The 26326-nt window shown below is 45.3% G+C and overlaps 1 long non-coding RNA gene across 1 annotated transcript in view, besides 2 other annotated features; it reads right to left on the bottom strand.

Annotated features, from left to right (window-relative positions):
* Positions 1-1682: 1682 nt before the first annotated feature.
* The window catches only part of LINC02935 (long intergenic non-protein coding RNA 2935), a 36907-nt gene continuing 12263 nt past the window's right edge, over positions 1683-26326 (bottom strand). Inside the window, exons 2-3 of the long non-coding RNA XR_001747706.2 lie at positions 23408-23644; positions 1683-2492 (exon numbers count right to left, since the gene is read on the bottom strand). This is a non-coding gene — a long non-coding RNA (long intergenic non-protein coding RNA 2935). The remainder of the gene's footprint in view (positions 2493-23407; positions 23645-26326) is intronic.
* Positions 13814-14014: a silencer, noted in NCBI's record as "peak1093 fragment used in MPRA reporter construct". NCBI's record gives its function as "represses an SCP1 promoter by STARR-seq MPRAs in K562 erythroleukemia cells {active_cell/tissue: K562}" and the evidence as "EXISTENCE:reporter gene assay evidence [ECO:0000049][PMID:32103011]".
* Positions 16060-16560: an enhancer, noted in NCBI's record as "H3K4me1 hESC enhancer chr10:114672820-114673320 (GRCh37/hg19 assembly coordinates)". NCBI's record gives its function as "activates a minimal SCP1, AML or CMV promoter by ChIP-STARR-seq in primed H9 embryonic stem cells {active_cell/tissue: H9 hESC(primed)}" and the evidence as "EXISTENCE:reporter gene assay evidence [ECO:0000049][PMID:30033119]".

Genomic DNA, 26326 nt, shown 5'->3' with positions numbered 1-26326 from the left:
TTAGCTGAAGACTCCAGGGAGACCCTCTCCAGATTTCAAGAGTTCTCTCTGTGAAATTCTCTCCTCTTTGATATTTTGCAAACTCCCACCACCTTGGCCTCCCCTCTCTCCTAGCTTTTCCTTCTCAGCCCAGCGACACCATGAGCTCCTCATCTTTGTGCCACAGTTGAGACACTCTCCTATGTCCCCAAGCTGGGCAATGTCATAGTGGTCACCTCGTTTATTTCTCATCCCTTGGGGATCAACTGCCCTATGTTACCCAATTGTCAATGTTTTGAAAACTGTTGTTGCATATACTTCACCTGGCTTTTTCAGGTAGGGTAACTCTGATCTCTATTACTCCATCTTGGTCAGTAGCAGAAATCTGCAATCAATCCTATATATTGTATTTAATGCATTTAAAACAAAATATGGAGCCTGAGAAAATGTCCATATCCTTCACTAGATGGTCAGAGGGGACCATGACACACAAAAACGTTAAGAACTCCTGCTCTTGCCGGGTGCAGTGGCTTACGCCTGTAATCCCAGCATTTTGGGAGGCCAAGGCACATCATTTCAGGTCAGGAGTTTGAGACCAACTTGGCCAACATGATGAAATCCCATCTCTAATAAAAATACAAAAAAATTATCTAAGTGTGGTGGTGCACGCCTGGAATCCCAGCTACTCAGAAGGCTGAGGCAGGAGAATTGCTTGAACCCAGGAGGTAAAGGTAGCAGTGAGGCAAGATCATGCCATTGCACTCAAGCCTGGGCAACAGAGCAAGACTCCACTTCAAAAAAAAAAAAAAAAAAAAAAACTCCTGCTCAGGTAGGATTAGTTAATATTTTTACAGGGTGCACAGATTTTCCCTGAGAAAGGTGGAACAAGGCCTGAGCTGCTTTTAGGCCCTCAAAAGCTGGGGTCTGAACATGAATGAGAACATGAAGATGGTCTCTGGCAGTCCTGGGCTTCTAGATTTTCCCCAGAGTAGATCTAGGAGGAAATTGGTTCCCACCCTGCAGTTTCTCCCTGTTGGCTGTGTCTCTCTTGCTTCCCAAAGAGAGGTTTGCAAATGTTCGGCAGGGTCTGGACAAATATGTCATGAAGTTTTAATTTCACAGCAAACTTGGTTATTAACCTTTTTTTTTCTTTATCCATGCCCTTCCTAAAAATCCTTCCCATCCCCACTGCAGACTCTGCCCCATTTTCTCCTCCTTTATAATTAGGGTGTAAGCTTGCTGAACCCAAACACCTTTGCCTGGTGAAAGAATCTATGTGCCCCTAGCAGTGCATGTTTTGTTAATCTGAGTGCAAAGTCAGAACAGGTTGAAGATCTCTGCCACCTCTGACAAAGGAGCTGGAGGCGGGGCTGGGTCCCACATGGAAACTATTCATTAGTCCTGTATTTTTCCTAGTATTCCAAGTCTTCCCTAATTCCCTTTGGGAGGCTGGTACTACCTGGGTTGCTGGGTAGAGACAAATGAAATGAACTCATTAGCATTTGTAAGCAAGTCCATGGGAGCTGGGCAGGAGGGATTCATTCTGTTGAGATGAACATTGATGTAACTCCCAAAGTTGAGATCAGCTGCTATTCCAGCATCAAGCTCAGAAGTATCTTCCTCTGAATCTCTTTTTCCTGGGTTTAAGGATCCTGCCCCGGGGGTAACACAGCCATCAGCCCAGGAAGCTCCAAAATCCAGCCTTGAGTATCCATGCATTTTTTTATTCAACAAATATATGAGACCCGCTGTATTCTAGTCCTTACAGTAGGCATTGAGGATAGAGCAATGAACAAAATCCAACAAGCTCTACAGTTCCTCTTTTTATGAGGCTTACCATCTAATTAAGACAGGCATTGATATGCTGTGTTTGTGTGTATAAAAGAGCACAAAATTACATGCATATATTATATGCATGCACACATATGTAAAATATAACTGTGACACTCCTTGAGGAGGAATAAGTAAGCATAAACTAGGGGAACTGACCTGGTTGGGGAGCTCAGGGAAGGGTTCCCTGAAGAAATGATAACCCAGCTGAGATGTAAAAGATGAGTAGACTTTAATTAGGGGAAGAGGGGAAAGAGCGCTCCCTGTGGAAGAAATAGGATGTCCAAAGGCCCTGTGGCCTAAGGAAGCAGGTGTGTGTGGCAGAGTGCATTTTCTAAAGATGGCTGCATCACTTTGTGATACTCCATAGCTCTTCCTGCAACATGAGGCCACACTCACCCATGGAGAGATGAAGGTCTGTGTCCCCTTGAATCCAGTGGGCCTACTGCAGATGTGATGCCATGTGACTTCTGAGGCTAAATCTAAAAATGTTCTATCTCGTCTTCTTGGGACCCAGGACCATGCTGTGAGGCACCCATGGAGCCACGTGGAAAAGTCCCAGCTGGCAAGGGCCAATTGCCCTCCAGACACAAGAGTGAAAGGGCCTTCAGATGACTCCAGACCCAGCCTCTGAGCCACTGCAGCAGATGCCAAGTGGAGTGAGCGCTGCCTGGATTTCAGATCTGTGAGCAAAATAAATATCATATCATCCTTTCAAGCCACTCAGTACTGACGTGGTTTGCTCTGGTGGCTGTAGATAACAGTATGTCTGGGGAACTCTGAGAAGGCCAGTGGAAAAGGGCACAAGTACCTCTGGGACCTGGCAATGGAAAGGGAGCAAGAGCTGGATCCAGAACTTGCTACAAGCCCAGTGACTCTAGAAAAGGCAATCTCTCCAGGCAAACAAAGATGTGGGGCCTATGCTTGGTTACTGGAGTGAGGACTGGATTTCAGCCCTCATTCATCTCTCAGCCAAATGTTCTTGTGCAGGGCACACCTACACAATCATACTTAGAGGCCCTGCTAGGCCACACAAAGTCTCAGAGGCTGGGTTAGGGATTTGGGTCTTTATTCTAGGAGCAATGTGGGAGCAGGTAATCGGGCCAGTGAAGTGATTCTTACCACTTTAGTTCAGAGTCTCCCAAAAGACTCAGAAAGCTGCTGTCCATAGATTTTAGGGTCCATTTCCAAGGGAGAGAATGGGGCCAAAAAAGTCAGGCTTCTGATTTTTTTTTTTTTTTTTTTTTGAGACGGAGTCTCACTCTGTCACCCAGGCTGGAGTGCAGTGGCACGATCTCAGCTCACTGCAAGCTCCACCTCCTGGGTTCACGCCATTCTCCTGCCTCAGCCTCCCGAGTAGCTGGGACTACAGGCGCGTGCCACCATGCCCGGCTAATTTTTTTAGTATTTTTAGTAGAGACGGGGTTTCACTGTGTTAGCCAGGATAGTCTCGATATCCTGATCTTGTGATCCACCTGCCTCAGCCTCCCAAAGTGCTGGGATGACATATATATATATATATATATACGTATATATACATATATATATACACATATATATACATATATACATATATACACACATATATATACATATATACATATATACATATATATACATATGTACATATATACATATATACATATATATACATATATACATATATATACATATATACATATATATACATATACATATATATACATATACATATATATACATATATACATATATATACATATACATATATACATATATATACATATATATATACACATATATATATACACATACATATATACATATATATATATATATATATATATTTTTTTTTTTTTTTTGAGACAGAGTCTTGCTGTGTCGCCCAGGCTGGAATACAGTGGTGTGGTCTTGGCTCACTGCAGCCTCTGCCTCCTGGGCTCAAGATATCCTCCCACCTCAGCCGGCTGAGTAGCTGGGACTACAGGCATGCACCATCATGCCTGGCTAATTTTTCTTTTTTCTTTTTTGGTGATGGAGTCTCACTCTGTTTCCCAGACTGGAGTGCAGTGCTGCGATCTCAGCTCACTGCAACCTCCACCTCCTGGGTTCGAGTGATTCTCCTGCCTCAGTTTCCCAAGTACCTGGGATTACAGGTGCACACCACCATGGCTGGCTAATTTTTGTATTTTTAGTAGAGACAGGGTTTCACTATGTTGGCCAGGGTGGTCTCGAACTCCTGACCTCAAGTGATCCACCCTCCTCAGCCTCCCAAAATGCTGGGGTTACAGGAAAGAGCCACCATGATCAGTCTTTTCTTTTTCTTTTTTTTTTTTTTTTTTTGTATTTTTGTAGAGACAGGGTTTTGCCATGTTGCCCAGGCTTGTCTGAAACTTCTGGGCTCAAGCAATCTGCTTGCCTCAGCCTTAATTTTTTTTTTTTCTTTGAGATGGAGTCTTGCTCTGTCACCCAGACTGGAGTGCAGTGGTGCAATCTCGGCTCACTGCAACCTCTGCCTCCCGGGTTCAAGATATTCTCCTGTCTCAGCCTCCTGAGTAGCTGGGATTACAGGTGCGTGCCACCATGCCTGGCTAATTTTAGTATTTTTAGTAGAGACAGGGTTTTGCTATGTTGGCCAGGCTGGTCTGGAACTCCTGACCTCAGGTGATCCACCCGCCTCAGCCTCCCAAAGTGCTAGGATTATAGGCGTGAGCCACCGCGCCCGGCCCCTAATTTTTTAAAATTATTTTTCATTTTTCAAAGATAGGGTCTTGCTTTGCTATCCAGGCTGGAGTGCAGTGGCACAATCATAGGTTACTGCAGCCTCAAACTCCTGGGCTCGAGTGATCCTCTTCCCTCAGCCTCCTGACTAGCTAGGACTACAGGTGTGTGCCACCACCCTCCAGCTAATTTAAAAAAATTTTTTTAGAGATGGGGGTCTTACCATATTGCCCAGGCTGGTCTGGAACTCCTGGCCTCAGGTGATTCTCAAGTGATCTGCCTCAGCCTCCCAAAGTGCTGGCACTATAGGCATGAGCCACTGTACCTGGCCAGGCTTGCTCATTCTTCAACATTTCTCTTGTCTCAAGGTGGAGATAATTTCTCCTACTTATAGGCTCAACTCTACCTACATACTAATCTCAGTTCTGTCCTAGCCCCCAGAATAGCTAAAACATGGCTAAAAGTAAAGATCAGCCTAGCATTTGGTCCCTTTACCTTTTTTTTTAAGTTTTATTTTCAATTGATACACACACACACACACACACACACACACATATGAAGTACAATGTGATGTTTTGATACACATATACATTGTGGAATGAGCAAATCAGGCTAATTAGCATATCTATCAACTCAAATATTTATCATTTCTTTGTGGTGAGAACATTTAAAATCCTCTCTGTTAGCTATTTTGAAATACACCATGCATTTTTTTTTTTTTTTTTTTTTGAGATGGAGTCTCACTCTGTCAACCAGGCTGGAGTGCAGTGGCACAATCTCGGCTGACTCTAGCCTCCACCTCCTGGGTTCAAGCGATTCTCCTGCCTCAGCGCTCCTGAGTAGATGGGACTACAGGCATGCACCACCATGCCTGGCTAATTTTTTTTGTAGTTGTAGTAGAGATGGGGTTTCACCATGTTGGCCGGGCTGGTCTCGAACTCCTCACCTCAAGTGATCTGCTGTCTCGGTCTCCCAAAGTGCTAGGATTACAGGTGTGAGCCATCTTGCCTGGCCTACAGTGCATTATTAGTAGCTATAGTCACGATCCAGTATATAGAACACCAGATCTTATCCCTCCTGCTTAACTGAAGCTTTGTACCTGTTGACCAGCATCTTCTCTTTCTCCATTCACCCCCGCCGCAGCCTCTGGTAACCACCATTCTGCTCTCTATTTCTGTGAGTTTGACTTTTTTAGATTCCGCATATAATTGAGATCCATAAGTGGTATTTGTCATTCTGTGCCTGGCTTATTTCATTTAACATAGTGTCCTGTAGGTTCATCCATGTTTCTACAAATGACAGAATTTCCAGGTTTTTTTTAAAGCTGAATAGTATTTCACTGAGTTTATATACCACATTTGATTAACATGGCAGGGGAGATATCTCTTCAGCATAATGATTTTAATTCCTTTGGGTATATACCCCAAAGTGGGATTGCTGGGTCAAATGGTAGTTCAGTTTTTTAGTGTTTTTTGTTTTTGTTTTTTGGTTTGTTTTTGTTTTTGTTTTGAGACAGATTCTTGCTCTGTTGCCCAGGTCAGAGTGCAGTGGCACGATCTCAGCTTACTGCAACTTCCTCCTCCCTAGTTCAAGCAGTTCTCCTGCCTTGGCCTCCCAAGAAGCTGAGGTTACAGGCGTGCGCCAGCACGCCTGGCTATTTTTTTTGAATTTTCAGTAGAGTTGGGGTTTGGCCATGTTGGCCAGGCTGGTCTCAAACTCCTGACCTAAAGTGATCTGCCTGCCTCGGCCTCCCAAAGTGCTGGAATTACAGGCATGAGCTACCGTGCCCGGCAGTGGCTTTTTAGTTTTTTTGAGTTATCTCCGTACTATTTCCAAAATGGCTGTACCTTTGCCTTCTCAAGCCCTCATTCTGGTGGCTTGGCTTTGACTTAGTGTCCCAGATACTTTGGATTTAGATTTCTATTCTTATCTTTGCACCTTCTTTCCCTTATTCTCTATTCTCTATCACCGATCTCCAAGACAATGACTCCTAATGCCCACCAAGACCATGTCCAAGCTCAGTCCCCCTACACATGGTGAAGCCATGTCCGGGATGAACGGTGTGATGAGTAAGCAATGGTGGGGATTGTGGGAGGCACTGTGGGCTGTCTACTCAATGGCAATTCTCTCCTATCTTCACGGTAATAGAATCCTGACTTTGTTCCCCTTCCCCAAGTGATCACAACCTTTTAGGAAGGTTGGACTCCTCCCTGGCCCTAGGGTTGAAATCTGGATGGATCTAAGCCAGTCATGATGGTCTCATTCTTCTTGACAAATGAATGGTTTGGATGTGGACCCATGTGTTGCAAGGGGAGGTTTGCTGGGGAGCCTTTTAGAACATTTTCATTGCTCATGAAAAGGAACACCAAAGCCCCACCCTGGCACTCACATAGATTTCTTAAGGGATGTTACTATGTTCATGTGGCTCTCAGAACTGCAGCGGCCAGCTTAGGCCTAGGTGGGAATCTCACCTAAGAGGATGAGTAAACAGACTGAGGATAACAAAATGAAAAGAGGGAAATAACCTGATTCCTTGAAGATATGATTGGGCAGCTAAATTACCAACCATGGAATCAGTCTAACTCCAATCTTATTTTTCTTATTTCTTTATTTTTTTTCAGACAGGGTCTTGCTCTGTTGCTCCAGCTGGAGTGCAGTGGCATGATCATAGCTCACTGCAGCCTCGATTTCCTGGGCTCAAGCTATCCTCCCACCCCACCCTCCCAAAGCACTGGGATTACAGGTGTGTGAGCCACAGTCCAGCCTTAACTCCCACCTTCTTGTCATATGAGATAATATATCATCTTAGAGTGCAGTGGCACGATCTTGGCTCACTGCAACCTCTGCCTCCCAGGTTTGAGCAATTCTCCTGCCTCACCCTCCCGGGTAGCTGGGATTACAGGCGCGCGTCACCATGCACAGCTTATTTTGTATTTTTAGTAGAGATGGGGTTTCCCCATGTTGGCCAGGCTGGTCTCAAACTCCTGACCTCAGGTGATCCGCCCCCTTTGACCTCCCAAAGTGCTGGGGTTACAGGTGTGAGCCACCACGCCTGGCCTGTTTAAGCCATCTTATGAATATTTTCTATTACTTATGATTAAGACTTCCTAACTGATACAGGACCTTCTGGCGTGAAATCCCAGACCATAAACTTCATTTCTTCTCCTTGCGGGTATAAGATGAGGAAAAGATGCTAACATTGTGAGCACCTACTGCATGCCAGACATTGTGCTAAACGCTGTCTACTCAATCGTCACAAGACAGTGTAGCAATTTTAAAACATGGCTGCAAATTCTTTAATGCTTTTTCCATCAAGAGGTAGGGCTTATGTCCCTTCTGCTTGGATCCCGTTGGTCCTGTGTATATATCCACCAACAGAGTCCAGTGAGAGGCTCGCTCATAAAAAGCTGTGCCTAGCTGGGCACAGTGGCTCACGCCTGTAAGCCCCACACTTTGGGAGGCTGAGGCAGGTGGATCACCTGAGGTTGGGAGTTCGAGACCAGCCTGGTCAACATGGTGAAACTCCGTCTCTATTAAAAAATACAAAAATTAGCCGGGCGTGGTGGTAAGCATCTGTAATTCCAACTACTCAGGAGGCTGAGGCAGAAGAATCACTTGAACCTGGGAGGTGGAGGTTGCAGTGAGCCGAGATCATGCCATTACACTCCAGCCTGGGTGACACAACAAGACTCTGTCTCAAAACAAACAAACAAACAAAAACAAAACAAAACAAAAAAAACAAAACTGTGCTGCTTTCTCCTTGCTTTCTGGAGTCACATAGGAAGTTCAGCTACCTTAATACCACCATGCCACGTAGTCATGGTGTAGGTGTGCTGATTGACAGTACCAGCTGAGCCCAGCTTGCCAGTCATCCCTACTAAGGCTCCAGACTTGTGAGTGATGCCCTCTTGAACCCTCCAGAGCAGCCTCTCAGCCTGCTGAATACCACTAAGTGACATCCGTTGATACTACATGGAACGGAAGAATCTCCCAGGCGAGCCCTGCCTAGAATTGTGAGATATAGAAATAATGGCTTTGAGCCCAGGAGTTTGAGACCAGCCTGGGCAACAAAGCAATACCCCATCTCAAAAACAAAACAAAACAAAACAAAATAAAATAAAACCATGGCTGTTGTTTTAAGTCATTAAATTTTGAGATACATAGTTACACAGCAATACATAACCAGAATTAGTAGGTTTTATTATCTCTACTTTGCAGCTAGGAAAGACTAAACCAAAGCTCAGAGAGGCCAGTAAGCAGAGGCAAAATTCAATCTCAGTTTGCCTAACTCCAAAGCCTAGACTTTTCTCACTACACTGTAATGCTTGGGCCCTTCCTTGACACCCAAGCACCATCTCTGGCCTGCTCCCTGCTTTGACCTCAGGCTCACAGTCTGGCTTCATTCTCTAGACCTGTGGTCTCTGCATTGACACTTTTTTCTATACTATTGGACTTTCCAACAGACACCATCCACTTAGTCTTTCTCCACCTGCCTAATCAGTGGCCTGGCCATTGCCACCTGCCCTACAGGTACTCCTGTGTTCTGCTCTGTTATCTCCTCAGCTCAGTCTCTGCCAAAGAGAAGTGCTATGCTCTTCATTTAAACCACACACATGGCCAGATGCAGTGGCCTGTAATCCCAGCAATTTGGGAGGCCAAGGCAGGAGGATCACTTGAGCCCAGGAGTTCAAAACCAGCCTGGGCAACATAGAGAGATGCTGTCTCTGCAAAAAATAATAATAATTTTAAAATATTAGCTGGGTGTATGCCTGAAGTCCTAACTACTCAAGAGGCTGAGGTGGGAGGATTGCTTGAGCCTGGGAGGTCAAGGCTGCAGTGAGCCATAATTGCACTACCTCACTCCAGCCTGGGTGACAGAATGAGACTCTGTCTCAAAATAAAATAAACTGCACACATTTATGGAGTGTCTGCTCAGTCCCAGATATTGAACAGGTACTGAGGATGCAAACACTGCATTCCACCTCAAACAGGATGGACCATGGAAAGCTTGTGTTAGATTTGTGAACAGAGACAACCATGTGCAAACATCCAGGTGGACACCGTCCTTTCAAAGAAAGTAAGACATTGATTCCAGGTTTGTGCCATGTTCTGCAACTCCCGAAAACCTCATCAGGAGTCATCATTTTGTTTTGTTTTGTTTTAACCTATGGAGGCATTACTCACTTCTGTCCCCAGCCTGATTCAGCCACAGAGCTGATCCTCCCGCTCTAAAAGAGCAAAGCTTGGTCACCACTGAGGAATGTCAAAAGGAGTAGTGCTCGTACTCAGGACCATTTCCACTCTCTCCTTGGCTCTGGTGTGTTTCCTGTGTCTCCTCGTTTGTTATCATCTGTTCTTTCCTCCATGTCACTTACTTCTTCGGGATCTTCGGTCCTTAGGTCTTCGGGGCTAAAGAGGTAGCTGGTTCTTGGATGGCCTCAAGACTCTGGCCAAAGGCAACCTCACACTGACATTTCTTTTGTGCCCCTCCCCATCTTACTAGACAGTAAATGAAAACAGAGGACTTCCAAGACCAAGAAAGTCGAATCAGATCAGAGGGGCCATCTATGCCAGGCAAACAACTCCTCGATCAACAGACACACATACAAAATAGAATAGGAGCCACATGGGACTTTTTACATAGAAGTGAGCCCCCATTATTTTATAATCCCAAACAGAATCAAAGGAACAGAGAAGGAAGATAAACAGACACTGGCCCAGCTCTGACATCTAGTAGTTGTGTGTCTTTGGACAAAATTCCTAACTTTTCTTACACTCAACTTTCTTATCTGTAAAATAAAGATAATCAGTGTATCTACCTCATACTGTTGTGAAGATGCAATGAAATAATACATAAAGCACATAGCTCAGTACCTGATACCCAGTAAAAGCTCAATAAATGGGAGCTATTTATCGTCATCATTGTCATCATCATCATCACATCATTGTCATTTCATCATCATCATCTTTTCCAAGTTCATATATTGCATCCTCTTAGTGCCTTGAAGGTCTTGCATTTTGTACTTGCGATCAAAAGGGTTAACTCCCTGGAAGGTGCCTTCTAGTTCCTGGTAGAATGCACCTCTTAGAGCTGGATCAAATGACTTCAGGATTTTTCTTTCCAAGCCAGTGGTTAGGGGCTCTGACTGCTCCACCTACCCCAGAAAGGGGTGGGAGCCCATTCAGGGAGGAGCCAGGTGGAACTGGATTTTCTCCCCTTTGCTTTAACCCAGTATTTCTTATAGTTCTTTGTCCTCCCAAACAAAGCAAGAGGAAAACTTCCCCAACTTGTAAATACTATGGCTATAAACCCAGGTTATGGCAATGTGCTAAGTGACTTTCATCTGAGGAGGGCACAGAGCCCCTGTGCCCACGACACTGCCTGGCACAGAGGGGCATGCAGTAAATATTGTTGAGCAGATGAATGAAATGAATGAATGAGTGGATGAGCAGAATGAATGCAAGGCCTCTTTCCAGTCCAGAGAGTCATTTCATCTCCCATAGAGGCTAAGCCATGGGTCCTACTTCTCTCTTCCTGTTCTCTCTTCTCCACCAGCCTTTCCTTGTTTGCTACTGAGGCTAGGTAGGGGCTTGTAAGAGTTCTACCATCAATGGCTATTTCCCCTAAGCCTGAGAAATAGATCTATTCAAAGCAAATAATTGGACGGGCACCTATCAGATTATGCCAGATAAATAGTACTGAAGAGATCTCAGGTGATTAAGTATCAACAGCTGTATACAGGACTACTTAATGCATTACTCAATCTCTGTCAATTGAAAATGCCAATGAATGCATCTTGTGAAGGAGACAACCTCCTTTCTTAGACTGAAGCTCAGATGGGTAAGGTAAGGCGAATAATGGAAGGTTCTTATATATCAACTACATTTAGGACAAAGTCTTTCCATCTCTTTTGAGGACTCATGTCTGGGGCCTGAGAGATTAGAATATTAGCAGAGATCTGTCACAAAATGCATCAAGCTGGCTTGTTCTACAGCCAGTTTTTTTTTTTTTTTTTCATGAAACAGGCAAAAAACAAACAAACAAACAAAACAACAAAAAACTCTGCAGGCAAGCCGTCACAGATAGTGGACATTGCTTTGGTTGGAGAAAGCTCTGACTTAAGCACTTTCCTAGATGTAGAATAACATAATGCGCTTTGGGGAACACATTAAGCCTCTCCTGTTCCTTGGTAGCTGCTCTAGATTTGCATTATGCAATTCTGGATTGATATGTTAAGGACTTAATGACCCCTGTCTCCTTTGCAACATCTGAACTGCCTTATTTATGCTTACGGCTAGATGGCTCATTGTGTATGGAAACACCCTCCTCTCTTTGAATAAAAGTAAAAACAGCCAAATTAAGGAGGCTGGTTAACATTTTTCCAGGAATAATGTCAGCTGGGAATCCTAAACTGTAGATTCTTCATATATAAAATGACTATAATGATAGAACTGTGTATTTTTAGTTTACAAAGTATTTTCATACCCATTTTTTTTCATTTGGTCTTTAAGGAAATGTTGGGGGAAGGATAACTCCCCTTATCAGTGCCATTTATGGAGAAGGCAACTAAAGTTCAAAATGGGTAAAGGGGGTGCCGGGCATGGTGGCTCATGCCTGTAATCCCAGCACTTTGGGAGGCCAAGGGGAAAGGATCACATGAGCCCAAGAGTTTGAGACCAGCCTGGACAACAGACCCCGCTCTCTACAAAAAATAATACAATTAGCTGGGTGTGGGTGTGTACCTGTAATCCCAGCTACTTGGGAGGCTGAGGCAGGAGAATCACTTGAGCCCAGGAGTTTGAGGCTACAGTGAGCTGTGATCATGTCACTGTACTCCAGCCTGGGCAACAGAGTGAGACCCCATCTCAAAAAAAAAAAAAAAAGAATTAGCAAAGGAACAGAAAGCAGAAATGGGTGACTCCAAGTCTCATGCTCTTAATTTACTCTTTTTTTAAAAAAAAATCTAAGCGCAGACATAAAATTCCATTGTGGCAAAATAAGTGTAGTAAAAATACATTATCACCCTCTTTTTATTTATTTACTTTTTTTTTTTTTTTTTTTTTTTGGAGACAGGGTCTCACTCTGTTGCCCAGGCTGGAGTTCAGTGGCATGATCATGCCTCACTGTAGCCTCTAACTCCTGGGCTCAAGGTATCCTCCCACCACTGCCTCCCAATTAGCTGGGACCACAGGCATGCACCACCATGCCCGGCTAATTTTCTTCTTCTTCTTCTTCTTCTTCTTTTTTTTTGAGAGATGGTGTTTTGCTTTGTTGCCCAGGCTGGTTTCGAACTCCTGGGCTCAAGTAATCCTCCTGCCTCAGCCTCACGAAGTGCTGGAATTACAGGCATGAGCCATAGTGCCCACCCTCATTTTTTACCTTCTCATAAGGTGGTCATGACTATAAAAATCACCTGGGAGCCTTGGCCCTCACCCCCAGAAACACAGAAAGGTTGGAAGAGTGCCCAGGAACCTGCAGGTTGGTTTAATAAGCTCTGGCTGGTGATTCTCTGGGAAGTTCCTTGGGTAATATTCGGAAAGAGTTATATACCAGGCTTTTTCTTTGCTGACATGATTCAGGACAAACCAAGAATATTTAGTCTCCTCTTATCCTATCTCTAAAACAACCACCTCTGAAGACCAAATCTTGCTTATTCCTGAGATTTTTTTTTCCAGCAATTCATAGATAGTGACTGTCTTGAAGCTCTAGGCAAATTCAAACGTCAACTCTGTTGTGTTGTCTTACAGTGAGCGAGTGACTAAGAGACAAACAGCTTGAACACTCTCCATTCGGGGAACATTTACAAACATACTCAAGAATTCCACCCTGAACAACTGAAATTTCAGACTGTGGGTTGAAATATTGAGACTTTTCACGAGCAAATGTCTGTCTGAATTTTTCTTTACTAGTTATGCTGGAAATTCTATGGCCAGATGTCTATTTTCAGCAAGCAATCATGAACTCTAGAAAGCTTAAGCTGTGTGTGATATGAGTTACTAATTTACTAGATCAATTACCAAAGGGTTACAGTGGTCAGTCAAGAGAAATATGACAGCTAAATTCCACTCTGACTCCAGCCAGACATTTTTACAGGCCTCATTTCTAAGAGCCTGAGAAATTCTGCAGTTCCACTTTCACTGATTCATAAGTCCCTTCTCAATTACCCAGGGAGGGTGGTTACTGACCATCAGCATGCCCTTCCAACTCTGTTTAATAGTTACTTTAAATCATGGTTACTGTGCTTTTAGTTGTGGTTTTAATGTACTTAAAATGGCAGCTCTATGAATGAAAATAGATCCTTGCCTTTGCAGGGTACAGCGGCACTTCCCAACCGTGGCTAAGACCAGAATCACCTACGGGGCTAAGATCAGAATCACCTACGGAGCTCACATGTTAGAGACCCACCCCAGACCTAGTGACTCAGAACCTCCCGCGACGGAGCATGGGTGTGTTTGTTTATTTGTCCTTACTTTTTTTTTTTTTTAAAGAGCTTCCTGGGAGTCCCCACCCCACTAGCCCTCCCCCACCCTCACCCTTAGGAACCACTGATATATTTTTTTGCTTTTCATGGTAATAAGATCTACCATATGTGAAGGTCTCTCATGTGCTGGGGGCTTTGCCTGTAACACACCTAATTCTTCTAACAACTCTGTAGGTTAGGAATTATTACCTTGCACATATTACAAATGAGGCAACCTCCACCCAGAAAAATTTAAGCAAAATTGTCCTGAGCTACTAAATCCAAATCTCTGCTCTTTCTACATGAAAATCCATCATTATGTGAGAGGCTCAGGGAATCAGCAAGATGAATTAGTTTGCTTAGGAAAGTAGTAGATACATCATTGGATATTTTTCAGAAAAAAAGTCCTTCTCTCCTGCCCTCTGCTTTTTCTTTTCTTTTCTTTTCTTTTCTTTTTTCTTTCTTTGAGAGACGGAGTCTTGCCCTATAGCCCAGGCTGGAGTGCAGTGGTACGATCTTGGCCCACTGCAACCTCCACCTGTCTGGTTCAAGCGATTCTCGTGCCTCAGCCTCCCAAGTAGCTGGGATTATAGGCATGCACCACTATGCCTCGCTATTTTTTGTATTTTTAGTAGAGACGGGGTTTCACCATACTGGGCAGGGTGGTCTCAAACTCCTGACCTCAAGTGATCCACCACCTCAGCCTCCCAAAGTGCTGGAATTACAGGCGTGAGCCACTGCGCCCTGCCTCCTCCCTGCTTTTTCTTATCCCTTGGGTCTTAGATAGCATTTCTTTAGGGGTACTTTTTCTGAGTCCCTAACTCTGGCCAGCTGTCCCTTCTCTGTGTGCCCAGTCCACTCTGTACTGGACTTAACACATATTGTAATGTTTGTCTACTTCTTTGTCTATTCTCCCAGAGGGCAGATATTCAGACTCACCACCAAAGCCCTCACTAGTCATCTAGTTGAGTACCTGCCTCATTTAAATGCTCAATAAATATGTGTTGAATGAATGGATGAGTAGACGGATGGACAGATGAACAGATAGGTGAAAGGATGGACGGATAATTGATTGTGGGCTGAATTAACTGGCAAGGGAGAAAAACGAGGACATGACTAAGAACATTTTGTAATTCTTGGAATAGGAGAATCACACACAAACAGACTTTAGACTCCTCTTAGTCAAAGGGGTGAAGATTCAGGGCAAATGTAATTTTGCGCATAAATATACAGGAAACCTGTCATAACCCCAGGGGAATATTTAGGTTACAAACGAATGAATGATTTAACTCATCTATTGTTATTCAATAGTCATAACAATGCCACCTTGGTTTTATACAAATCTTTTTCCCCCAAAGGGGTTAAGTCACTCAGCAAAGGACAGAGTTTGTGACTTCCCATTTCAAAGAACGTTCTCAACTATCTGGTTATTCCAACTGTCTGAAAAGAAAGAAGGAGGAAGGAAGGGAGAATAAAGACCATCTGTATGGCGAAGTCGGAAGCTCCCTCACCCTATTGCTCCACAGTGGTTCATATAAAGAGAAAAGGTTTTGAAATAATGGCAGGTCTTCAAGAGTAACAAAGGGCACCTTAGGAAATAACGTGAAAACAATAATAGTGCAATGCGGCAAAGACAGTGGCATAAATACAGAGGAAGGGAACATAAAGAGGTCTGGATATTAGAGAAGGAAGCTCCTTGGAGTTACTGCCCTAGGACTTGGGTAGTCCTTGTAAAAGGGAGAGCCTCATATTATGGGCAGGTGTTCAAGAGCAATAAAAGGCAGATTAAGAAAGTTCCAGCCCAGCGCAATGGCTCACGCCTGTAATCCTAACACTTTGGGAGTGTGAGGCGGGTGGATCACTTTAGCCCAGGAGTTCAAGACCAGCCTGGGCAACATGATGAAACCCCATCTTTACCAAAAATAGAAAAAATTAGCCAGGTGTGGTGGTGTGCGCCTATAGACCCAGCTACTGGGGGGACTGAGGCAGGAGGATCGTTTGAGCCTGGGAAGCAGAGGTTGCAGTGAGCCAAGATCATGCTACTGCACTCCAGCCTGGGCAACAGACCAAGACCCTGTCTTGAAAACAAAAAAAAATCCCAAGCACACTGTGTGCCTACACACACACACCCGCCACACACCCACACCTACACACACCCACATCCACACACACACACATTCACACACACCCACACACACCCACATTCACACACACACACCCACACACACCCACATCCACACACACTCAAAAACCCCACACCCCCCACACACCCACCCCTCACACACACCTACACACCCCCACACACACCCACACACACCCCCTCACACACACATACACACCCCCACACACCCCACACACACCTACACACACACACCTACACACACACACACACACCCGTGCACGCACACACACCCCCATACACACCTACACACACCTACCCCCCCCACACACACACACCCTTACCTTAGTACCCATCTTCATTTCCCGCCCCACTCTTCCTTAATACTGCATAACAAGGAGTTCAATGTCAGATTAAACCCATTTTGAACATGAAAGTAAAGACTACAGCTCCCCCCCAAAACCAGAACATTTTTTCCTCATTATCACCTCATTAAGATGCCCCTAAGGTCCTTAATCTTTATATGACGATATCATACAAGGAACAGGTCCTGCATGCCTGCGATGAAGCATGACTGATATTTAAGCCCAACAACTCTAGAGCATTTGATTGCTTCTGCGTTTATTCAGAATGGCACTTTTATGCGAAGCCATAAAGTGGCGAATTTCCTATGCAGAGCTGAGAGTGTGTGAGTTGGGGCAGGTGGTGTATGAAGGCCTAGGGTAACCTAGAGTAGCTCTAAGCATGGCCACCGGAGCCAAACGGGAGACTACGTGTGACTTCCCTGTAAATTGCTGTATTCATGTTGCCAAATCCCAACGCTACCTCTGAGAAAAGGAAAGGAGGAGGAAGTGACGTCAATGAGGAAAAAAGTCAGATAAAAGCAAATTGTCCCTGACAAATATGAGTCATACACCTTTTAACCAAGTCGTTCTCAGAAAAGGAAGCCATTGTTAGTCGAATTTAACCTCTGAGACTACAAACGCTGCGATGCTTAGGAGATGAAACTTTATGCGGCGATGGAAGGACTCCCACCCACATAAATACACTCTGTACACAGAATCTCCAGTTTTGGCCGTAACCTCAAACTCATCTGCCATTTTGGCCTCTAGAAGGGAAGAAAAAGAACAGCTGTGACTCCAAGTCGAGTGAATGTACCGCTCCATCTCCATCAACTTAGCCCGTTTTTGGATGTGGGTAGTGAGTGATTCCTTAGTCTTATGAATGAATACTGCTAGGTAAATGCATCTTCAATTACCTATACTACCCACTTGTAGTTCTCACATTTTCTTCTTTTTTTTTAACACAATTATTAAGATATAATTTATATAATCACACAGTTCACCCATTTAAATCATACAATTCAATGGTCTTTTGTATATTACATTACTACTTCCAAAAAGTTGCTTCTAAGTTTTCTTATTAGAATTTTCAGTACTGCTGCTAAAATTAGGAAGAAAATAGACATATAGAAGAAAACGATAGTAGAAGCACAGAAGGGAAAGGAGAAAGCGAGGAAGGGACAGAAAGAAAGGAAGCCAATGGCTTCCAAAGAAGGACTTCCAAAGAAGCCAATGGCTTCCAAAGAAGGACTGCTTCAGGACTTCTCAATGTTTTAGCCAGGATTCAAGAACCGACATGGCGGCCTGTCCCCCAAAGGCAGTGGGGGAAAGGAATGGGCCTGGGCACAGTGGAGAGTTATGGAGGAAGGAACTAGAATCAGCTTTGTGGATTGGGGCTGGGAGAGGAAAAGGCTTCGAAGAGGCTCTAGGAAATCTCAACCCCTGCCCAATTTCCTGTCACTCTGCAGAGCCCTCCCCTACAGAGAAACCAGGCAAGGCAAAGACAGAATTACAGCTCAGTGACCTGAACCAGGTGCCAATTTTCAACTCAGTCCTTGTCTTGCTTCTCAAAGTGCAGCATTTAATGAGGTTAAAAAATCAGATTATTATTTTTTTTAAAATGAGAATTCAGGGAAGTTTTTGGGTTAGCTGAGCCGTATGAAAGTATTTAACCTCTGTTCAGCAAACTGCCCTTTATTCACATTTTTCCTTCTACTGTTGTTCACAAAACTGCACTTTCTCAGACAAGTTCACCATTTGGCATTGGGACCTGGTTGTAACCAGATGGTGTGTATCACCATTACAGCATACAAATCAGCCTGGAGCTTGATTTAAGGACCAGAGGATTCTTTAGGGTAAATGCTTCTGGGAAGGGAGAAGAGCAAATGTTGTTGCTCTATGAGTGACAATGTGGGCTGCTCAGATGGCAATAGATGCTGATGCTGTGCGTCCCCCCCACCATTTATAATGATTAATTCTTTGCCTGGAGACCCACACTGTTTGGGAAGGAAGATGCAGAATGTCTTCCATCCATGCTACTGAAGAGGGGCCTTTTTTGACTTTTTACAAGGTCAATGCTTTGTTTTACTCCCTTCCCAAGGGGGCACACAACAGTGGAAAAACAGGTGAGATAAGAAAACAGTAGGCTGGACATGATGGCTCATGTCTGTAATCCCAGCACTTTGGAAGGCTGAGGTGGGAAGACTGTTTGAGTCCAGGAGTTCAAGACCAGCCCGGGCCACATAGTGAGACCTCATCTCTACTAAAAATAAATAAATTTTTAAAAACAACAAAAAAGAAACGTAAATAATCAAAAAGAGAACACTATCTTCTGCCCCACATTGTCCTCTTTGTAAGCTACCAAAGGACAGAAAGCAGAGAACTTTATTCTCCAAAATTACAGATTTTTAGAACTAGGAGCCACCTGAGAGCCAGTTGTGGTAGACACCTGCCATGGCGTCCCAGCATCAGCATCCTTTCTCTCTTCCTTGTCTCACAGCACCCTGATTCATCTTTGGGAGACCAATGCTCTTGTACTCTCAGATCTTTGGATGGGGCTAACCTGCTCCTGGCTCCAAAGGGTGGACATGTAACCCAGACCTGGACAATGGGCATATTCTATCCCTCCAGCCTTAGTGATTCATTTAGGATGGACACATGACTCCTATCAGTCCAAAGATAATATTTTGGATGGACCTATTGAATAGAGGAGGTCTATTTCTGATGGTGCTAGCTGTAAGGATAATGTCGGGCTAAGCTACTGGAGTCACCATATAAAGTGGGCATAACTGACTGTGAAAGTGTGAGGATGAGGCCAAATCATGGAAACTTTCTTTGAGCCCCTGGATCCAGCTACACCTGAAACTAATATAATCTCTGAACTTTTCAGTTATGTGAACAGATACGTCCAGTTTTGGGCTTTAGCCTGTTTGAGTTGATTGTCTATCATTTGCAACGAAATGAGTCATGACTAATCCATTCCCCAGTTCTTTCTTTTCACAAACCAAAATTAGAGAATGGCTTGTTCAGCTGGGCATGGTGGCTCATGCCTGTAATCCCAGCACTTTGGGAGGCCAAGGTGGGCAGATCACTTGAGGTTAGGAGTTTGAGACCAGCCTGGCCAATGTGGTGAAACCCCTTCTCTGCTAAAAATACAAAAAATTAGCCAGGCATGGTGGTGGGCACCTATAATCCCAGCAACCCGGGAGGCTGAGGCAGGAGAATCGCTTGAACCCGGGAGGCGAAGGCTGCAGTGAGTCAAGTTTGCACCACTGCATTCCAACCTGGGTGACAGAGGGAGAATCTGTCTCAAAAAAAAAAAAAAAAAAAAAAAGAAAGAAAGAAAAAAGAGAATGGCTTGTTCAACGTCTCACAGTTAGGAACATAACTGGACTAGCATCTAAGCCCCCTGATGTCCAGTCTAGGGCTTTTTCTAAAAACGTTTTAGAAGTATTCTTCCTGTTGAAATCACCATAACGTGGGCTAACGATATGGTATCAGATTTTTTTTTTTTGAGACAGGGTCTCCCTTTGTCACCCAGGCTGGAGTGCAGCAGCTCAATCACAGCTCACTGCAGCCTCGATCTCCTGGGCTCAAGTGATCCTCCCACCTCAGCCTCCTAAGTAGCTGGGACAACAGGCATGTGCCACCACACTGGCTGATTTTTTTTTTTTTTTTTTTTGGTAGAGACAAGGTCTTCCTATGTTGCCCTGGCTGGTCTCAAACTCCTAAGCTCAAGCAGTCCACCCACGTTGGCCTCCCAAAGTGTTGGAATTATAGGCATGAGCCACTGCTCCCAGCCTTTTATCAGATTTTGACAGCGAAGTCCTGTTACGATTGACAGGAACTGACCCCTGCCTATCTGACTGTTTAATGACAGACAGTTATGACTGCCACACTGTTCCATAGTGAGAGGGGATTCAACCAAGCGTGGCTCAAACACATTATCCCTCAACCTTTCTTTCTCTAGTGGATGGAGACAGTCTATTTCCTGAAGCTTGATACGTGGGTCTGAAGTTCACCAACACATATGGTTATGGCTGTGCTGGCTGTCAAGATATTGAAATGTCCCTCTCTTGCCAGGTGTGGTGGTTTACACCTGTAATCTCAGCACTTTGGGAGGCCGAGGAGGGTGGATTGCTTGAGCCCAGGAGTTTCAGACCAGCCTGGGCAACATGGTGAAATCCCAACTCTGCAAAAAATTTTTAAAAAACTAGCCAGGCATGGTGGCATGTGCCTATAGTCCCAGCTACTTGGGAGGCTGAGGTGGGAGGATCACCCGAATCCAGGAAGTCAAGATTGCAGTGAGCCATGATCACGCCACTGCATTCCAGCCTGGGTGACAAGAGTGAGACCCAGCGTCAGAAAAAAAAAAAAAAAAAAAAAAAAAAAAAGATAAAATAAAGGAAATGTGTCTGTCCTGATTAACAAAGAACCACTGCTCTGAGCTCCCTGAGGGTTCCTTCCTGCCCTGGCCCCTCCGCCTGGGCCCCGCTTCCCCTAGACCTCCTGAGTATCACAGGGCTTAATACTTGGGTTCTGGGGAGGGACCATCCGAACCCCACTCCAGCACTATGGCCGGCGTCCCTTCTGATTGGCTGTGCCTGTGCCCAGTGGGTTATTTCAAATTTAAAATTTTAGCTCTGTACACACAAAGACACAGCCCATGCCCAGGGGGAAAAGGGAGACGGAAAAGATGTGACCTGTTTCCCCTCACTGAGAGGCAGTTTGTACCTTCTCATCTGCCCCCACAAAAGTATTGGCTCATGGTGCCTTTAACAAGGCAGTAAGTATCGGACCAGGAAACGAGTACCTCTGGGTACTAATCCCAGTTCTCACCCAAACCTCTGTGGATCCAACTTAACTTCGCTGCATCCCACGCATGAGAAGTCAGAGGCATAGTTCTAAGTCCTCGACCTGTATGAACTCATTCAGTCCTCATCTCTTCGAGGCAGACACTACTGTTGTCCCTATTACAGAGGAGGAAACTCAGGCAGAGAGGTTCGGTTACTTCAGGCTGACTTCAGAGACTTCAGGCTTAATCATGACATATGGCTACCCTTGAGGCCACATAGCACAGTGGTTGTAGCATAGACTCTGGAGTCAGAATTCTGTGGGTTCAAATCCTGGCTCCGTTGCTTGGAAGCTCTGTGACTAAGTTACCTCTTAAGGAGGAAAAAAAAGCTGTGTTAGTAACAGTGATTGGCTATAGTTATGTGTGTTCCAGATATTGCACAGGACATGATATTGCATGGGACATGCTTACACTAAAAAAAATCAAATTGAACGGACGTCCTGAATCTTATCTGGCAACTGTTTTTTTTTTTTTTTTTGAGAGAGAGTCTCGCTCTTGTTGCCCAGGCTGGAGTGCAATGGTGCTATCTCAGTTCGCTGTAACCTCCACTTCCTGGGTTCCAGAGATTCTCCTGCCTCAGTCTCCTGAGTAGCTGGGATTACAGGCATGTGCCACCATGCCCGGCTGATTTTTATTTTTTAGTAGAGACACGGTTTCTCCACGTTGGTCAGGCTGGTCTCGAACTCCTGACCTCAGGTGATCCGCCCACCTCGGCCTCCCAAAGTGCTGGGATTACAGGCATGAACCAGCACATCCAGCCTTATCTGGCAATCTTATATAGGAAGTACTTGGCACAGTGCCTGGCAGGTTAGAAATATCAAGAGATGAGAGGTGTCTCTATTGGGAATGCAGCTCTGAATGCCAGCTTGGTGGGTCTGCAGAGTGCCACTTGCAAGGAGGACCAGATTGAGACGTTCTAGGCCACCAGAGTTGGTCGAGCCTCAGTGGCTGTTTCTGAAGGCTGAGGAGAAGCCCAGGGCTGACTTTGGCTGGGGAAGAAGTGGAATCTGAAGGCAGAGCTTTGGCCTTCATCTCAGCTTTGGCCCCTGCTCTGGGTTTTGCAGTCCCCACGTAACCCTGGTGTCTGGTCTGCCTACAGAGCCTCCAGGGTAGTCCTGAGGGACTGAGCCAGGCCCATTCAGTGCCTCCTTAGCCCCGGGAGGCCAGTGCTGCTGCCATATTAACAGTTCCTGGCGGCCGCCTGGCCAGGAGGACAGCATGTCCCCAGGCCTTGGAGCACACGAAGTGATCTCTAACTAGATGTTCCCGGAACATTCTGCCGCAGTCACACAGTGCAGGAGGGAAAGTGAAAAAACAAAACACCAAAAATACCCTGGGCTCTGCACGAGGATGAGCAAAAGGGAAGGAAGAAAGGAAAACAGACCTGAAATGGAGGTTTGCACCGAGTCACACTGGGTTTAAGGGCAAACCTACAAAGAGGACGGAGGCACCCTTCAGAGCCTAAAGTCTTTCTACCATCATCTTGTCTGCCCTTACTAGAGAGCTGTTCATCCGAGACTCCAACACCTTCCAGGCCCTCTCTTCTAGACCCAGCAGCCCTTGGCAGTTCACACTCTCTGCAGAGATCTACCATCCAAGACCTTCCCAGCAGGTCCCGGGTGCCTGCAACAACGTGGGCAGGTTGTCTTAACCACTGACTGCCTCGGTTCTTCAATTGGCTAAGTTGGGATAACACCATAGTACTACTCACTCAGTAAACTCACAGCTTTTCCTCAGTGTTGCCTAATAACATAGTTGTTAAGACCACGGGTTTGTTTGTTTGTTTTGAGACAGAGTCTCACTCTGTCACCCAGGCTGGAGTGCAGTGGCGCGATCTCGGCTCATTACAACCTCCGCCTCCTGGGTTCAAGTGATTCTCCTGCCTCAGCCTCCCAAGTAGCTGGGACTACAAGCACATGCCACCACGCCCGGCTAATTTTTGTATTTGTGGTAGAGACGGGGTTTCACCATGTTGGTCAGGCTGGTCTCAAACTCCTGACCTTGTGATCCGCCCACCTTGGCCTGACAAAGTGCTGGGATTATAGGTGTGAGCCACTGTGCCCAGTCTAGAGCATGGGTTTTTAAGATAGACCAAACTTTGCATTCTGGCTTTGCTGCTTACCTGCGCTTTGGGGCAAGTGTGCTGTCAACCTCTTTGTGCCTCAGTTTCCTTAGCTGTAAAAAGGATCTGCTCACACCTCTGCTTCATTGGACTGTTGTAAGGAACCAGCTCACATATTCAGGTGTTTCCTGGAGATGCCTCTGAGTTCCCTGGAGATGCGGTGACCAACAGGCAAAGCGTGGTCTCATTCCTGGCCAGCACTCTGGCTCATATGATGTACTGAGCACTTCCAGGGTACTAATAAGAAGCACACGAGAAACAGATACAATTGACAATATTCTATGCCCTCCAGGGTTTTACAGTGTGGTTGGGAAGACAGACCATTAAATCATTAGAGAAAAAGATACAAATACTTTCCTATAATTACGCACAGAGTGGGTGGCTCCAAGTGTAAATGCCTTGGACTGTCATGGAGGGAGGAAGAATAACAGGGAGGGTGCAGGAGGTAAGGCTGGGATGCTGGGAGAATGTGAGTGGGACAACTGGCTGACGAGGAAACCTTCAGGATGATGCTCCACCAGTTGCCCAAGGAGAAGCCCCCAGGGTACAAAGCGAGTCACCCTTACCTTGTTCTTTAGGTTAACAATTTTTTATTTTTTATTTTGAGACAGAATCTCACTGTGTCGCCAGGCTGGAGTGCAGTGGCACGATCTCGGCTCACTGCAACCTCCACCTCCTGGGTTCAGGCGATTCTCCTGTCTCAGCCTCCCAAGTAGCTGGGACTTCAGGTGCCTGCCACCACGCCTAGCTAATTTTTGTATTTTTAGTAGAGACGGGGTTTCACCATGTTGGCCAGGATGGTCTCGATCTCCTGACCTCGTGATCTGCCCGCCTTGGCCTCCCAAAGTGCTGGGATTACAGGCGTGAGCCACCGCACCCAGCCTAGATTAACATTTTTAAAAAAGATCCCAATCCAAGTCATGTGCTTGCAATAGTTATTGCTCCTTATCCATCAAGGACATTCCATTTCATCATTCAGATACCTGCACACAGCCCCAACAGCCTCTTTGCAGTAGATTGGAAAAGACAGAACTATCTCTGCCTCCATTCATAGCACAGCCTTTGCGGGTAGACTCACCACAGGTGCCCCCAGGCCTCCTCCCTGAACCACCTGTTTATTCCTTAGGATCACAATCCTGTGTTATACTTGGTGAAGGGCACAAAGAAATAGCAGACAGGGCCCGGCTGTCAAGCTGCTTCTAGTCTAACCAGGGGACATAAAACTCAATTTTTGCTTCTCTTGGCTTCTAATAGTTCATCAGGGTGGTCCTGTGTGTAGTTAAATCCCTTCTTGGGGGCACTCAGGTGAAGTCTTGTTCCTTCTGGATGTTTCTATGATTGGAACAGCTCAGTATAGATCCCAATGGGATTTCTTTCATATGTATCATTTTTGGTGAATTCCCTAATAACCCAGTGAGAAAGGCAGAGAGATGTTACATAATTCCACACCCACCCCCCCCCGCCTTTTTTTTTTTTTTTTTTTTTTTGGCACAGTCTCACTCTGTTGCCCAGTCTGGAGTGCAGTGGTGCCATCTCAGCTCACTGCAACCTCTCCCTCCCAGGTTCAAGCGATTCCTGTGCCTCAGCCTCCTGAGTAGCTGGGATTACAGATGCATGCCACTACACCTGGTTATTTTTTTGTATTTTTAGTAGAGATGGGGTTTCACCATGTTGGCTAGGCTGGTCTCAAACTCCTGACCTCATGTGATTCACCCGCCTCAGCCTTTCAAAGTGCTGGGATTACAGGCATGAACCATCGCGCCTGGCCCCAATGGGTTTTCTTTCATGTGTATCATTTTTGGTGAATTCCCCAAAAACCCAGTGAAAAAGGCAGGGAGATATTACCATAATTCCCATTTAACAGAAATCTGAGTTCCAGAGAAAGAAAATGACCTGCCCTGGGTGACTCAGCTGAAACTTGAACTTTCATTTCCTGGCTATAAATCAGCAACATTCTCAACATCGTTATCATCTCACCTCCTATGTAGCTCCTTGAAGGCAGGGTGTGTTTCTACACATCTCTGTCTCTCTTGTATAACCTATATTTTATGCAGTGGTGTGCTGGTAAATGTTTAACAACTGGCTCTCTGAGGAAATACATTTCTGATTTGTAGCAGTTGCCAATTTCGGTAGTGTAAATAGTCCCATCATGGCTGACTTCAAGCTACCAATGTGACATCAGCCACTTCAGAAATTCCTGAAAACTTGCTGGCCATGATAGCTCATACCTGTAATCTCAGCACTTTGGGAGGCTGAGGTGGGCAGATCACTTGAGGCCAGGAGTTTGAGACCAGCCTGGCCAACATGGTGGAACCCTGTCTCTACTAAAAAATACAAAAATTATCCAGGCATGGTGGTGCATGACTGCAATCCCAGCTACTCGGGAGGCTGAGGCATGAGATTTGCTTGAGCCCAGGAGGCAAGGGTTGCAGTGGGCTGAGAGTGTGCCATTGCACTCCAGCCTGGATGACAGAGGAAAACTGTCTCAAAAAATAAAAAATAAATTAAAAGGCCGGGTACAGTGGCTCACGCCTGTAATCCCACTACTTTGGGAAGCTGAGGCAGGTGGATCACCTGTGGTCAGGAGCTTGAGAGCAGCCTGGCCAACATGGTGAAACCCCATTTCTACTAAAAATACAAAAAAATTAGCCGGGTGTGGTGGCGTGTGCCTGTAACCCCAGCTACTTGGGAGTCTAAGGCAGGAGAATCCCTTGACCCTGGGAGGTGGAGGTTGCAGTGAGCTGAGATCCCGCCATTGCACTCCAGCCTGGTTGACAGAGCAAGACTCTGTCTCAAATAATAATAATAATAATAATGAATAAATTTAAGAAAAAAATCCTGAAAACTTAATAATTGTTTCCTAGAAGCTAGTATGAGCTGGTTCCAGCGTACTGCTATTTGTAGAGAACCTTACATATA

Source organism: Homo sapiens, chromosome 10 (genome assembly GCF_000001405.40).
Source record: "Homo sapiens chromosome 10, GRCh38.p14 Primary Assembly".
NCBI lineage: Eukaryota > Metazoa > Chordata > Mammalia > Primates > Hominidae > Homo > Homo sapiens.
The sequence above is the reverse complement of the archived record's forward strand: the minus strand, read 5'-3'. Positions and strand labels throughout refer to the sequence as shown.